Consider the following 16,035-nt stretch of genomic DNA (forward strand, 5'->3'; position numbering starts at 1 on the left):
GGGGAGCGCCTGGCACCCCCCCTCGGGATCCATCCACAGTCCGTCTTGTCCAGAGGTGCCCTGCGGACAGACCGCACCGGGGGCCACGACCCCGCGCCCCGGGTCCCACCTCCCCGCGGGGATGGGGCGCCGGCCTCCCCTCCACTGCGCGGCGCTTTGTCCTCGGGTTCCCGGAGCAGACGGCGGCGCACAGCCCGGCCCCTGGCCCCGGCCTCCCTCCCGCCTGCCCCGACCCCTCCCTGGCGCCTGCGCTCCCAGGGCCCCCGGCCTTACCACAGCCGCTCGCTCCCTGCACCCGGTCCCCCCAGCCGGGTCCCCCAAGCCGCCCCCGCTCCCTGGCCAGGTCCGGCCGAACCCGGGCGGCGGCGACACTCACCCGCGCCGGGGGCGCCGGCTCCGGGCCCCGGGCTCCGCCACCAGCGCAGCAGAGCCCGCGCGGGCTCCAGGCTCACGGCGCAGCGCTGCTGCTTCACCCACAGCACGGATTGCAGCGGCTCCGCCGCCCCCGTCGCCCCCATCTCCGCCGCCGGGCTCGTCCGCCAGGCTGGGGGCGCGCGGACGCCGAGGGGCGCCGGACCGTTAGCGGCCCCTGCAGTGGCCCGGGCGGCGGGCGGCGGGCGGCGGGAGGCGGCGCTGCGTCACCCCGTACGCGGGCGGCGGGGACCGCGGAGGGGACGGGCGGGGCGGGGGCGAGGAGGAGGCGTGGGTAGAGGAGGGGCCGGGAGCCAGGGAGAGACGGGGGGACCCGAGAAGGGGAGAAGAGGGAGGAGGAAGGGGCCGGGATGGGGCTGGCCGAGGCCAGGGCGCTGGGGCCGGGAGGCGGCTGCCTTTCTCTCCTCTCTTCTCCGGCGGGTGCCGGGTGCTGAATCTGGCGCTCCCGCGGCCGGCCGGGACTCAGTGGCGCCTTCCGCGCGGGCCTCGGTTCAGGCGGGGTCCGGGCGGCGTGGAAACGCAGTCCTGGCGATCGGGCGCGGCGGGGGGCGGGCCTGGATGGGGGCGCCACGGGCGACGTGACCTTGGGCGGCGGGTGCCCTCTACGATCCTGGCGTCCTGTCGGCCTGGGAGGGGGCCTGCAGCTGGGCCCCGACAGGCAGGTAAGGCTTTCAGGAGGCGGAGGTCTTTTTAGGGGGCGGGGGCGCTGGCCCTTTGAACTGCTCTGGGGCCTGAAGCCACAGAGCAGACAGCTGAGCAGCCGCCCCCGAGCTGGCCCTAGGAACCGGAGCCTGGGCCCCAGACTTGGAGAGACACGGCCCCTGTGGCCCCAATTCACCGCCTCCCCAGGAAGGCCTCCTTGACCCCACAGCTGAAGGAATCACCAGCCTGCAGGGACTCCAGCCCTGCCTTCAGAGCACGCCGTGCGCCTTCATGCAAGCTCCAGTCTCTGCGTCCGCAGTGCTTAACACAGCCCCATAGGAAGCAGCCACAACCTGGTTCGGAGGGCACATCCCTCCCTGATTTATCAGTGAAGACTGTGCTCACAGAGGTTAAGTCACTTGCCCAAGAGCACAGGGCTCCAGTGTGGCAGAGCCTAGGCTCACACTGACACTGCCTGGATGTGACACTGAGGTCTGAGGCCTGCCCCTCCCCTCGGCTCCCCTACCCAGCCCTGCTGCTGCAGGCAGAGGTGAGGTGGGCTAGGTCCACGTGGCCTTGCTGCTGTGCCTGGCACCAGGTGGCAGCATATACAGGTCTTACCCTGCCAGCTCCTTGTGACTGTCTTGTCTATAGGGCGGGAACCAGCCATGAATCATTCCTCCCTGGGAGCCCAGCCCCTGTTCAGGCCATGCAGTGAAGGCCCCAGGACAGTCCTGCAGCCACCGTGGGCCCAGTCAGAGTCCTAGCAGGCAGTACCTGATCGTGGCACACAGTGGGGTGTGCAGCAGCGAGGCCTGCCCAGCCTCCTCCCTCCCTCAGCTGCCGCTCTGAGGCCTGGGAAATGTGGATCTGAAACTTACTTGGAAAGAAAAGCTCATGCCAGTGGCAGGAGGGTGCCGCTGCATGCGAAGAGGGTTGGCAGGCAAGGGTGGCATGGGCAGGGGCCCGAGAGCACCAGCGTCCCTACTGGGGACCCCTTCCCTGGGCCTCCCTGTGCTTAGGCTCCCCGTGCCCCTCCCGGCGTATTCACGTTGCTGTCCCCCGGCTGCACGCCTTGGCTTAAAATCCTGCAGCCAGAGGTGGGGGCCCAGAGACGACTCAGAAGTGCTTAGGCCCCGAAGGAGCTCCGTTGGGGGAGACAGCAACATCAGTTACAAAACACACAGGAGATTCAATGAGGCTGTTAGGGTGGGCCCTCATCCAGCGCGTCCTTACAAGAAGAGGAAATGTTGACCGGGCTCTGTGGCTCACACCTGTAATCCCAGCACTTTGGGAGGCTGAAGCGGGTGGATCACCTGAAGTCAGGCATTGGAGACCATCCTGGTCAACATGGTGAAACCCTGTCTCTACTAAAAATACAAAAATTAGCTGGGTGCAGTGGTGCGCTCCTGAATCCCAGCTACTCCGGAAGCTGAGGCAGGAGAATTGCTTGAACCCAGGTGAGCTGAGATTGCGCCATTGCACTCCAGCCTGGGTGACGAGAGCGAAACTCCATCTCAAAAAAAAAAGAAGAGGAAACGTGAACACACACAGACCCCCGAGGCGTGTGTACACAGGGGTGGCCATGGGAAGGGGCAACAAAAGAGAGTGACCTCCAGGAGGCCAACCCTGTGGGCTTGAACCTTGACCTCAGACTTCCAGCCTCTGCCAACTGTTCATGGGAGACGACAGATTGCTGTTGTTGAAGCCATCCAGTCCGTGATATTTTGTTATGGCAGCCTGAGCAGACCCAGGGGACCTGTAGTCCTAGGATGGGCTGGGGAGGGGCCTGGCCACTGCAGGGCCCCATGCTCATGCTCAGGGAGACAGGGTGATGTCACGAAGCCCAGGTTTCCAGAAGATGCACATCCTGCAGTTGAGTTGCATGGGAGAGGGGTTGGGTGGGGGTCAGGCCCTGTGTGGGGCCAGGGCCATGACTCTGGGCACAGCACTGGAGGGATGGGAGGAAAGAGCAGCTCCACCCCAGAGCAGCCGTCAGGTCCCTGCTGTGTGTCAGACCCAGGGGGCCCTTCAGGAGCTGGCTGCGAAGGACACAGGAGCTTTGAAAATGTAGACGAGGCCAGCCCTGGCTGCCTGAGGACCTCCCGGTACCTCACCCACCTCTTCCCTGGCAGGCACCTTTCCCACCTTAGACCCTGCCCAAAATGCCCTTCCCACACGTCTGCCTGGGAGGCCCCCACTCACCTTCTCCTTCAAACCACATCTTGTTTCTTCTGCCACAGAGTCCCCTGATAGCTCACTGCATGGCACTTCCACCCCCGGCTGCCACAGGGCCTCACTTCTCCTTGTGGCACTTCAGAACAACTGATGCCCCAACCTGTTGCTAGCCTGCTGTGTACATGGCTGGTCAGCTCTGCACAGGGCCCTGAGCTGCCAGGTAGGCCAGAGAGCATGGGCTCAGCCCCAGCAGCCTGGAGTTCTGGTCCTAATTAGTCAGGCCCTGACCTGCCACCTGACCCTGTCTTGTGTCCAGTCTGCAGGCTTGGGTTGCTGCCTGGTGGCCTGATGGCCCTGGAGCCTGCTAAGCCAGACATCCTGCCCAGCGGCGGCCAGCACCCGTTCCCCTGGGCGGCCAGGTTGTCCCACCCATGGGCCACCTGGCTCCTGAGGTTCTGTCTAAGCTGGTCCAACCCCATACCCACGAGTGTCCCACCCACTGGGTCATCCATACCACGGGCCCCGGCCCCTCCTGTCCACGGAGCCCTGGCCACCAGCAGGAGCCTGGCACCAGCAGCCCCGTCTAACATGGTCCCCGCCATGGCCTCTGATCTATTCTTCCCTTCTCTTCCTGGGCCCCTGGCCTTGTTTGCTGTGCCAGTCCTTCCAGCTTATCTCCCGAGACTCCCTGTCTCGTGAAGTCAGCACCACCATCTGACATCAGAAACTAGAATGCTGGGTTGGGTGGGAGGATCCTGGCACCAGCTGTACATGGGCTGCCAGGAATGCCATCCTCTGCCCTCCACCTTCAAGGAGAAGCCTCCCATGCTCCTCTTTAAGGCTGACTGCCTTAAAAAGGAGAATCCGAGGCTTCTCCTCAAGGGTCTGGAAGAAATGTCTTGGGCCCCAAGAGGCCCAGATATTTGGAGAGTAAGCTGATCATTACAAAACACACATCCCTACATTCGCCACATGATCCAGACAATCGCCCCTGGAAATGGGTATTATTTACCCCTTTTTACAGACGTGAAAACTAAGACCCACAAAACTAACCTGGCCTGCTCCGGTTGTACAGAAAGGTAATTAGATGGGTTGCAGGGGCACTCCAGGCTCCCCTGTCCCAGGCTTTGGGGTCTCCCTGCCGTGGGAGAGTCTGAAATGTGGGAACTGTAGATGACACAAGCTCCAGGCTTCAGCCTCTGTGGGCCCTGCTCCCTGGGCACTAGGGCGGGCCAGTATGTTCCACCCTCCAGGACGTGCAGGACTGTCCTGCCTCAGCTTCTCTTACAGGAAGACGGTGCTGCCCTGCCCATCCTCAACCTGCCCATCTAGAGAAGACAGACTTAGAGCCTGGGCTGAAGTGGAGGATGGCCCTCAGCGGGCAGTGGAACCAAGCTAAAAGGCTAGGGAGGTGAGGCTAGCCTGGGATAGTTCCAAAGGCAGCCAGGGATCAGGACTATTCACACCCCTGGAGGGCCAGGGGGACATCACACCCAGGGGGAGGCCTCCAAAGGCTGGGCTTAGTTTTGGCCTAAACCCTGCAGGTTCCTGCCCGGCTGACCTCCCTCTGTTAGGCACCAACAGGATGTCTGTCACTCTGCTTAGCATTAGCACATTTCACCCTCAAGGTGATACTACCCTACTACAGATAAGGAAACTGAGTCCCAGAGAGGCTGGAGGAACCAGGGTTATCCAGTGGGCCAGGGGCAGAACTGGGAATGAACCCAGGACTGCCAGACTCTGAAGCCCACCCTCTTCACTGCCTTGCACCCTGTTGGCCATGTTCGGGGTTTCTACTCCAAGCTGAAAATGCCCTGAGAGCAAGCCAGCTTACCAGCACCCAGGGGAGGGTGTGCACCTGCCTCTTCTGGTGTCTTCAAATAAGGTGTCCATTTCTCACTGATGCAATGCAGGCTTGACTCATTCCAGGTACTGGAGGCACAGCAATGTCCAGCCTTGGGAGTTTGGGGGAAGAGTTACCCCAAGAAGCCCCCATCCTGGTGACATCTGTGACCCCGCATGGGGTCCAGCTGAGTGGCTTTTGCACACCCTGGTCGGGTGGAGTGAGATCACTGGGGAGACGGGACCTGGAGCGCAGGCTGTGAGGACACAGCCAGAGGCCATGAGTGCTCAGGAGTGCCATAAACTGTGATTTTGAGACTGATAAGGCCAGGCTAAATAGCTTGCTGGGTGTGTCTTGTTTGCCTTTTTATATTTGAGGCCTATAAAAAAATAGTGAGAAAATAGCAAGATGCCCAGGAGACAGGTGATCTGATTCAGCCAGGGGGTGGGAGGTGGAGGCACCAGTGACTCCCGCTAGCCAGGGACTGGAGGCAGGCAGGTCTGGGGACAAGAGGATGAGGGATGGGGCCACATTTGGAGCCTGGTGCACTGAGAGTAAAAGAAGAAAACCTGCTCCAACAAACCCTTGAAATTGAAAATAACACCGCCTGAAGGCATGTGCAGAGGGTGCTGACCCCAGCTTAAAGAGAGGGTGTGGTTCGGGCACACTGGTTCACACCTGTAATCCCAGCAGTTTGGGAGGCCAAGGCAGGTGGATCATGAGGTCAGGAGATCGAGATCATCCTGGCTAACACGGTGAAACCCGTCTCTACTAAAAATACAAAAAATTAGCCAGGTGTGGTGGCGGGTGCCTGTAGTCCCAGCTACTCGGGAGGCTGAGGCAGGAGAATGGTGTGAACCCAGGAGGCGGAGCTTACAGTGAGCCAAGATGGCGCCACTGCACTCCAGCCAGGGAGACAGAGTGAGACTCCTTCTCAAAAAAAAAAAAAAGAGTGGGTATGGTGGGTATGATGGCCTGGCGTGGTGGCTCATGCCTATAATCCCAGCACTTTACTAGGCCTAGGCAGGCAGATCACCTGAGGTCAGGAGTTCAAAACCAGCCTGGCCAACATGGTGAAACCCCATTTCTACTAAAAGTACAAAAAAATTAGCAGGGTGTGGTGGCGGCTCATGCCTATAATACCAGCACTTTGGGAGGCTGAGGCGGGTGGATCACCTGAGGTCAAGAGTTCAAGACCAGCCTGACCAACATGGTGAAACTCTGTCTCTACTAAAAATACAAAAAATTAGCCAGGCACGGTGGTGGGTGCCTGTAATCCCAGCTACTCAGGAAGCTGAGGCAGGAGCCTCGCTTGAACCCAGGAGACGGAAGTTGCAGTGAGCCGAGATTGTGCCATTGCACTCCAGCCTGGGCGACAAGAGCAAAACTCCATCTCCAAAAAAAAAGGCAACAATAGGGGCATATGTCATATGCTGTCAGGACCTTCTGAGGCCGTGTCATGAGCATGTCTATAAACAAAAAATTTTTTATTTTTTGAGACAAAGTCTTGCTCTGTTGCCCAGGCTAGAGTGCAGTGGCGCAATCTCGGCTCACTGCAACCTCTGCCTCCTGGGCTCAAATGATTCTCCTGTCTCAGCCTCCCGAGTAGCTGGGATTACAGGCACCCACCACCACGCCCAGCTAATTTTTTGTATTTTTAGTAGAGATGGGGTTTTGCCATGTTGGCCAGGCTAGTTTCGAACTCCTGACCTCAGGTGATCCGCCTGCCTCAGCCTCCCAAAGCGCTGGGATTACAGGCGTGCACCACTGCGCCCAGCCAAAAAATTTTTTTAAAGGTAATGATAGATATATTGTCATACAGATTGATGAATACACAACAGCATTGTGTATATTCACAGGCCCCAAACAGCAAAGACACAAAACCATAAAGGAATGGACACGAATGCAACCGTGCATGGGAGGGCTTGGCAGATGCGTTGGGATCCCAGCACAGCCAGGGCAGAGGCCAGGAACCACACCTTAGTGCACAGAGGCCCAAGGCTCAAAGTCCAGGGTACTGTGCTCACCCAGGATGCAGGAGTAGGCAGTCACCACATGGGATCCACAGCCCCAGGTCAGTGGTAAAGCAGGGGAGAGTCTGGTGAAGGGAGGGACCAAGGTAACAGGGCCAGAGAAAGTTGCTGACCACTGGTGGCCAGGCCAGGCCACATATCCAAGTCCTGTCCTCCAGGCTTTGTTCTGTTAAAAACAGCTTTATTGAAATATGGCCGGGCACGGTAGCTCACGCTTGTAATCCCAGCACTTTGGGAGGTTGAGGCAAGAGGATCTCTTGAGGTCAAGAGTTCAAGACCAGCCTGGCCAACATAGCAAAACCCTGTCTCTACTAAAAATACAAAAATTAGCTGGGCGTGGTGGCCTGCACCTGTAATCCCAGCTACTTGGGAGGCTTAGGCATGAGAATTGCTTGAACCCGGGAGGCGGAGGTTGCAGTGAGCCAAGATCGTGCCATTGCACTCCAGCCTGGGCGACAGAGCGAGATTGCGTCTCAAAATAAATAAATAAATAAAATAAAATAAATAAGTAAATAAACAAATATAATTCACATACAATTCACTCATTTAAAATGTACAGGTCACTGCTGATGAGTATATTTACAAAGTAATACAACCATCACTAAAATCAATTTTAGAACATTTCCATTCCCATAAAGAAACCCTATACCCATTAGCCCTCACTGTCTATACCTCCCTTCCACCTGCCTCGGCCATTAATCTACCTTCTATCTCTGTGGATGTTTTTACAGTTCATCCATGTTGTACTATTTTATTTTATTTTATTTTATTTTTTTTTTAGAGGGAGTCTCGCTCTGGCGCCCAGGCTGGAGTGCAGTGGCATGATCTCGGCTCACTGCAAGGTTTGGCTCCTGCGTTCACACCGTTCTCCTGCCTCAGCCTCCTGAGTAGCTGGGACTACAGGCGTCCGCCACCATGCCTGGCTAATTTTTTTTTGTATTTTTAGTAGAGAAGGGGTTTCACTGTGTTAGCCAGGATGGTCTCGATCTCCTGACCTCATGATCCACCTGCCTCGGCTTCCCGAAGTGCTGGGATTACAGGCGTGAGCTACCGCGCCTGGCCACGTATATTCTTATATATGTACACCTGAGGTCAGGAGTTCGAGACCAGCCTGGCCAACATGGTGAAACCCCGTCTCTACTAAAAATATAAAAATTAGCCAGGTGTGGTAGTGGGCGCCTGTAATCCCAGCTACTCAGGAGGCTGAAGCAGGAGAATTGCTTGAACTCAGGAGGCGGAGGTTGCAGTGAGCCAAAATCGTGCCACTGCACTCCAGCCTGGGCGTCAGAGCAAGACTCCGTCTTAAAAAAATAAAAATAAAATTAAAAAATAGTGAAAATGGTAAATTTTATGTTACATGTACTTTACTGAAATAAAAGATTAATTTCTAGGGTGACTGCCCACGCAGGAGATTAGGGTATCCCAGATGGGCCATGACAGCAGGGGTGGAAACAGATGGATTCGGATCAAGGTGGTCAAAAAGCAGAAACGATGGGATGCAGTGATTGACAGGATGAGGGGTGAGAGGGAACGGTCTAGAATGACCCCCAGTACTCTGCCTTGTCTGGGGGGATGGGTGCCTGTCATTTGGGTGGGAACACGAGCAAGGAGCATCCCACGGTGCCTGTGGGGTTTTGTGGTGGGGTCTGGAGGTCATTCCTTGGTGAATAGATGGGAGTGGATCTGCTTGAAGCAAGGAGGGGAGGGGACCAGGACCAGGGAGCCCCATGTCCTTGATTATCAGGGACAATCCTAGTCTCTATCTACTGTGATATCTTCATTGTTGCTGGTGCTTCTGTTCACTTGCTGGAGTAGCCCTGCTGTGGGATTAGTAATCTGGTCATCCACCGACACTCAAAGGCAGGGCAGCGAACAGGTGACCTCATTTAGACCCTGAGCAGAAACAGAACAGCTTCAGGTGGAGCCCATGAAGGAAACTGAGATGGCCCAGCCAGACAGGCAGGAGGAAAGCAGGGCTCACAGCACCCCAGGGAAGGTGGAGAGAGGGAGGTGTGGTCCTGTGGAGCCCCAGCTCCACCTGCGCTCGCTGGGAGCCTTCGCCTCACCTGTTGGAGCCTCCGTTTTCTCTCACACGTGAAACGAGGATAGTGATCGCAGAACAGAGTGGCTGAGAGCTCAAGATTCAAGTCCAAACTCTGCGAGGAAAGGCGGTGAGATCTTGGGCCAGGGTTTCCTAGGACGGCACTGTGGACATTTGGAGCCACATCACTCTTGGTGGCAGGGACTGTCCTGTGTACTGCAGGATGTGCAGTAGCATCTCTGGCCTTCACCCAGAGACAACCCAAAGTGTTCCCCAGACATTGCCAAATCCCCCATGAGAACCTCCGCCTTCCAGAAATCACTCGATTTCTCTGTGCTTTGGTTTCTTCCTCTGTAAGTGAAGATACTAAAACCAACCTCATGGGATGTTATGAAGGTTAAATAGTATCGTAAATGCAAAGTGCTTGGCATAATAAGGGCTCATTAAATGTTAGTTCATAAAATCAGAGCGAGCAGCCCTGGCTGACTGTTGAGCCCAGCATCTGGGGTACTGTCGGCGTTCAGTCGGTGGTGGCAGTGATCATGTTTCTCTGAGGCTGGGGAGAAAGCCTCAGGGGCTACCTCTGGAGGGACTTCTGTCCCCAGGCAGCAGCCAGAGGCACTTGGAGGGCTGTACTCCCCACTCAGGGTCTGGCTGATGCTAAGGGGCAGAGGGGATCCCTGCTGGACTCTGCATCCCCTATGCTGCACGCTTCCTTCCCATCCTGGCAGGACCAAGCTGCTGGGTCTGAGTTTTGGGGCTCTGGGAAGTGGGCTCCTGTGACTGCCATGCACTCCCCATAGTGGGAGACACACCCAGACATCCCTGGGCTAGCCTCTGGTGACCAAATCCCCCTGGTTTGCTGGACTTTCCTAGTTTAGTGCTTCAAGTCCCACGTCCCGGGAAACCTGTCACTTTTAGGAGGTGGATTGCTCAAGTTGTCCCGATTCCAGGTTGTACAGCCTTCCCCGGGGATGGGCTAGGCCAGCTGCACCCTGGGCCCTGAGCTCTCCTTGCTGGGCTCATCTCAGGTGGCACTGGGAGGTGACCTCATTTAGACCCTGAGCAGAAATAGAACAGCAGCGCCAATTAGCAGCTGCTCAGGAGCCAGGGGCATGTGGATCTGCCCCAGCCTCTCCGCAGAGGGATGTTTGTGGGATACAGAAAATTCCACGTGCAATCTTCTTCCACAGAGAGGAAGGGTTGTGAGGATGCCCACTTCCTTGGGGACGCACCCAGTTTTGCTTCTTGCTTGTCCACTTGTCAAGGGTGAGAGCATTTGGGGCCGGGAGGCACAGACCCTCAGAGATGCTGATTCATTGGGTTTGAGGCAGGGTGGGGTGAGAATCCACAATTTTCACACCCTCCTCAGGGGATCTGGATACAGGTGGTCCTTTCGACGCACAGTGGGATACAGTAGGGACCTGCCTTGCTCTGTTCCAGCCAGGGTCAGGGGCCCAGGCCCTGAATCCACTCTGCACCTGGGCCTGGGTGGTCACCCGCTCACTGGACACAGCCCCCAGAGGACAGCCGAGAGACAGATGCCCGGATGGAGCCTAGCACAGAGCCAGTACGACGTCGCTGCTGCTGAGAGCCGGTGTCTACCTCCGTCCACTCGACGGAGTGGCCTCTTGTATAGGTGGGCACCTGGTGCCAGGAGAGAACCCTGGCAGGGAGCTGAGGGACCTCTGTGGTCAGGCTGCTTCACTGGCCAACCAGGGACCTTGTGCCATTCCCATCCCATTGCTGCCCCCAGCTTGCCCTGAAAGCACACTTGGGGGTGGTAGGAAGCCAGGTGTCTCTCAGTGTCTGTCCTGGTGACGATGGGACCTAGAACGTGCTTCCCCACCCAAATCCCTCCCACATTCAAAGGGAAGCCTGGGTCTCAGCGGTCAGGGACCAAGCAGCTGGGCTTCGCCGCCAGTGACTGCTTAGGGGGTAGGAAGTGGGGTGGCCTTTCTCGGGACTGCCCCGCTAACCTGCCCCTGTAGCTCCTGCAACAGCCTCCCAAGAACCAGGGCTGAGAGGAGAGCCTCCCAGAGGCCACTGCTTCGCTTGTGCCTTCACCCCCTTCCCTCCCCAAGGTGGCCGCTCTCTCGCCCCAGCATCTCCTCTGTCCTCTCTCCTTCCTCCCCACCGGGGGCTGCTTACCGTCAAGAGTGGAGGGGTGACAGAAACAGCATTGGCTGGGGAGTCAGGGGAGCTAGGGCTGAGTCTAGCTCTGTCTTAAATATATTGCTAGTTTCTAGGCCTCAGTTTGCCCACCCACAAAATGGGAGTATTGGAGGCAGGAATCTAAGGTGCCCACCTGCTCTCATACTCCAAGGCTCCTTGGGCACATCCTGAGTCCGCCGTTTCCCACAGACACAGCCGACTGCCTGCTGCTTTCTCTGTACGTTTTGTGACTTCCCTGGGAGCAACATGGAGGAAGGGCCAAGTTTTGAGGTACACAGAGCTTGCTTTATCTCATGAAGGAAAAAAAGTTCCATGCTTTAATCTTCCTCTTCCAGTAAAGAAACAGCCTGAAGTGGCCTGTCTGCGAGTCACAGTGTTAACTCAGATCCACAGGAAGATGTTCACCGGATGCTCCTTGGCCAGGCTGCCATCATCCACTCGGGGGTAAACAGTCTCCGAATCAGGGCTGGCTGGCGGCTGACAGCCAGGGCAGGAAGTCTGCAGGGCAAGCTGCAGGATGTCACCCGAAGGAAATATTTTGTGTTGTGCATTGCGGTGGAGAAGTGCAATGAGGCTTAGGGGTTGTGAAAACAGATTCCTCAAGCCTTCACGGAGGACCTCTGTGCTGGAGGTCTCACCCAACAGGTCTTGCAGGCTGGTCTCAGAGAAGTTCCTAGAGCTGCGTGTGGAGTCACCCAGCCTTCTCCCCCATTCAATACGGATCCCAGACATTTGTGGGATACTTGCATCTCCCTATAGCACTTTCCCATGTATCGTCTCATCTGATCTTTAGAAGAACCCTCCTAGGCATGCAGGACAGTGCTGATTACCTCATTTTACAGATGGGAAGGTGATGCTCAGAGAGGGGGCTGGGATGTGTCCATGTCACATGGAATTGGGGCCAACTGACCCTTGGCCAGCTCTTTGGCTGCATGTGGCATTTCCAGATTTCCAGTGGGTGATATGAGGCTTGTGACTCAGAGGGGTGCCCCAGAGATGAAGGGAGAGGAGGCGTGGGGCAGCTCTGGGGTAACTGCCTTGCAGGGGATGAAGGGAGAGGAGGCGTGGGGCAGCTCTGGGGAAACTGACTCGCAGGGGTGCCCCGGAGATGAAGGGAGAAGAGGCGTGGGGCAGCTCTGGGGTAACTGCCTTGCAGGGGATGAAGGGAGAAGAGGCGTGGGCCAGCTCTGGGGAAACTAACTCTCAGGATGTGCGTCAGGGGCTTTCCCAGGCGTCCAGTGGCATCCAGCATGGTATGGGGCTAGGGTCATGGGGGCAGGGCGTCAGGAGGCTGGCACTCCTGCCGTGGGTGGATGGCATGAGGAAAGGAGGCTTCAGGCATCTTCCTGCATGGGAGAAACAACGCCTAGTCCCTTAACAAGTCCCTGAATCCTTCAGCTGCTAGCACTCCCCAGCCCATTGTCTGTGCCCACTAGAGCCCGTGTGGGTGGTGATTCTGCCCTGTAGGAGCTCCCCATGGGAGTGGAGGGGAAAGGCCAAGTTCCCCAAAGACAATGTCAGTTTATACTCAGGGAGGGGCCCACAGGAGGTAGCAGGCCCTGGAATCTGGGGGCTGGAAGTCTGGAGCTGGGCGTGGGGTGAGGTGTTTGCCTGGGCCTCAAAGCATGCAGTGATTTCAGTGAGTGAGGGTGCAGGGTGAGGGACGGCTCCCAGGCAGAGGGCACCAGCAACAGACACGCTGGAGTGTGTTGAGGGACAGAGTACTGGGCAGTGGCAAAAGAGGAGCCCCCAACCTGGAGAGGCCTTGGGTACCAGAGTGAGGAGTCCGCCGTTTCCCACAGACACAGGCAGCCCCTGATGGCTCTTGAGCAGAATGTTTTACGATGGGAGGTGCTGGGCAGCAGTCATTGGGGAGGGCCATGGGGAGAGGCCAGCAGGGGACCAGGGCCCCCTCTCTTGGCTCTAACAGCCCCGCTGTGCCATGGGCAGGATGCCTGGCAGGTCCAATTCCAGGCATGGCCGAGGCCAGCAGCCATGGAAGAGTGTCTGGGGTCAGTGGCTGACAGGAGTGAACGAGGAAACGAGGAAATGGGGCAGGGCGGGGAGGGCGTGGCACGCACTCCACCAGGCCCCAACAGGTGCCCAGTCTGCCACGCACCCCTGGCCTTGGCCTGGTGCCTGATAGCTGCCCCTGCTAGGACATGGGGGTGTCGCCCAGCTCTGACAGCTCTGGGAATGAATCCTGGGCTAAGAGCCACGAGTCCTCTTCAGGGTTCAGCTGCTCCGCTGAGGCTTAAACCAAAAGGTCATCAGCTCCCGTTCAGCCTCCCTCTCCCCTGCTTCCTCCTTCCTCCTCCCTCCTTCTCCAGCTCTTCTTCCTCCTTCCTCTCCTCCTCAGGCTCCCTCCCTTCTCCCTTGATCTTTAGAAGAATCCTGGGAGAGGGGCAGGACAGTGGCAGTTATCTCCCTCTGACACAGGGGGAAGGTGAGACCCAGAGAGGGGCTGGGACTTACCCAGGCCACTTTCCCTGCTCCCTGCTTCCCACGCCATACCAAATCACACTGCGCACTGGGAACAGTATACACGAGAACCTTGGGCCCTCCTAAGTGGAGCTGCTTTTCCTAGAATTGCCATCAACATTTCTAAACAATGTGGCCCATCTGGGGGCAAAGCCTCCTCCTTTGGGAATGACCCCTGCCACAGTGAGGGCCTGACCCTTTGCAGACCATTGCAGTCCGCTGGCTTGACTCTGCCTTCTGGCAACAGAGCTGGGGGAAGGCCCAGGAAGGATCAAGAGGGTTCCAGGCCCTGGAGCCCTATCTCCCCACTTCCCTCAGGTTACATCCAGTGCACTTGCCAAGTATGTCATCAATGACCAAGTGAGGACCCCGGGAAGCTCGGTGGGGAAGGCGGGGGGCTATGACCTACTGGAAATTCCCATAGCCAGAGTGATGGGGATGAAGGAGAGGTGCTGGTTTGGGACACAGCCTGCTGCAGGGACTCGCAGAGCCAAGGACAGAGCAGAGCAGGCATGGCAGGCGGTGTGAGGACCCGGCCCTGGCAGCTGGGAGGGTGCCTGGATGATGGTCCCCCTGCTGGAGACCCCCTCTCTTGCCTGTCTCAGTTGGCCTGGGCTTTGTCCTCCGCTGACCAACACCCTCCACACATTGCTTGACACTCACAGTGGGGAGGTGTCCGGTCTTGGGCTCCATGGCTGCCCTTTGCTAGGGACACCAAGAGGGACGTGGTGATCAAGGATCTGGGGGATTTCTTTGCAGGCGGCTGAGGCTGGGCTCCCTTGGGGCTCCCAGAACACTGTGCAGGCATCTCATGTCAAACATGGATGCATTCTTATTGACCAGGCACCATTCCAAGCAGCCTATGTGCCCATTAGTTCTGGCCACAGCTTATTCTTGGTGAAAGGCTGCAGGTGGCTGCAGCCCTTGCTTCTCTCTGTGCCATCTAGAGATGGTAGTGACTGCTGTGGCAAGGGCGGGTGGCCTGCACAGCACTGCCCCTCCCGTGGGAAGGTCCCGGCGTCCTGGAGGTCCACATGGGCTAGGGCCAGGCGTTTTTCCCTCGGGAAGGCTGCTCTCACCTTCCCCACCAGGAGACATGGGAGGTCCTGGCTCCAAGCTGAGCCCCCTGCAGTTGTAGAGGGGCCACTCTGATGGGGAGGGAATGCTCCTGGGTTCTGCTGGCACAGCCTGCTTGGCACAGTGTGGCACTGGATGGAAAGAGGAGAGACCAGGGGATCTCCCCCTGCAAAACACCACAAATGCCTTGCTTCTCGGGACCTCAGTTTCCCCAATCCTAAAACAAGAGACTTGGGGTCAGGCACCAGGAACACTTTAAGTTTGGGCCTTGGGCCTTCCCAAGTGGAGACGCTGCCTAGGGGTCAAAACGTGTGAAGGGAGAGGGGTGTGGGAAGCCGGGGTAACCAGAGGACTGAGCCTGCTCCAGCAGATACACACAGGGGTTACCACACCAACGTGTGGCCCTTGAGGGCTCCCTGGCTTAGCACAGCCCCTCACCCCTCTAGCCCTGCCCCCTGCCCCTCAGGCCCCTAGCGCCCCTGGGCCCAACACTGGGTCCCATGCCTCCCCCACCCCCATCCCCAGGCCCCGCTCTTGCTTCCCGCAAGTCCTGCCCCACGCCCCTGGGAGCCTCTGCTTCAGTGAGGATGGGTCCTTCTCCACAGTGACAGAGGGGATGGAGATGTGGCAGGAGTTCCTTGGAAGGTGCCATAGGGCATCACTTCATGCCAGCTGTGGCTTGGTCCCTTGCGTAGGGGAGTAGGGGGGAGGGGCTGCCTTTGGATCCATTGCCAGCGAGCTTAACTCCTCCAGAATGGCATGTCTCCCCACCCCTTGCAGTGTCCCCAGGACACCTGGGTGGGCAGCCACCATCCCTCCTTTGGAAGAACCAGTGTCATCCGAAGGTGGTCAGGAAGTGGGAGGATGATGCCGAGTGGCCAGTACAGACCCTACAGGGCCAGATTCCTGAATTTTATTTTTGTTTGGATCGCTAAGCGTCAGTACTATAAACAGCAGTTAGCCCTGGCTGGATTCTGTCATGTGCCCAGGTTCATGCCCGATTGCATTGAGCCCTCTGCCAGCAGGTGAGGAAACAGGCTCAGCTGAGAAGGCTGCCCAGATTTGCACAGCAGGATTGAAATCCATGTCTGTCTGGTTCCAAAGTCAGGGGTTCATCCACCTTACCACTCGGC

The 16,035-nt window shown here is 57.8% G+C and overlaps 1 protein-coding gene across 1 annotated transcript in view, besides 3 other annotated features; it reads right to left on the reverse strand.

Annotated features, from left to right (window-relative positions):
* CERK (ceramide kinase) overlaps positions 1-622 on the reverse strand; it is a 53,843-nt gene extending 53,221 nt beyond the window's left edge. The window contains exon 1 of the mRNA NM_022766.6: positions 377-622. Within this exon, the coding sequence (NP_073603.2) occupies positions 377-518 (142 nt within the window). The 5' untranslated portion in view covers positions 519-622. The remainder of the gene's footprint in view (positions 1-376) is intronic.
* Positions 15-974: a silencer, noted in NCBI's record as "silent region_13916". NCBI's record gives its function as "represses an Ori minimal core promoter by ATAC-STARR-seq in GM12878 lymphoblastoid cells {active_cell/tissue: GM12878}" and the evidence as "EXISTENCE:reporter gene assay evidence [ECO:0000049][PMID:35858748]".
* Positions 1,103-1,761: an enhancer, noted in NCBI's record as "H3K4me1 hESC enhancer chr22:47134630-47135288 (GRCh37/hg19 assembly coordinates)". NCBI's record gives its function as "activates a minimal SCP1, AML or CMV promoter by ChIP-STARR-seq in primed H9 embryonic stem cells {active_cell/tissue: H9 hESC(primed)}" and the evidence as "EXISTENCE:reporter gene assay evidence [ECO:0000049][PMID:30033119]".
* Positions 1,135-1,464: an enhancer, noted in NCBI's record as "active region_19249". NCBI's record gives its function as "activates an Ori minimal core promoter by ATAC-STARR-seq in GM12878 lymphoblastoid cells {active_cell/tissue: GM12878}" and the evidence as "EXISTENCE:reporter gene assay evidence [ECO:0000049][PMID:35858748]".

This window comes from Homo sapiens, chromosome 22, assembly GCF_000001405.40.
Source record: "Homo sapiens chromosome 22, GRCh38.p14 Primary Assembly".
Taxonomy (NCBI): Eukaryota; Metazoa; Chordata; class Mammalia; order Primates; family Hominidae; genus Homo; species Homo sapiens.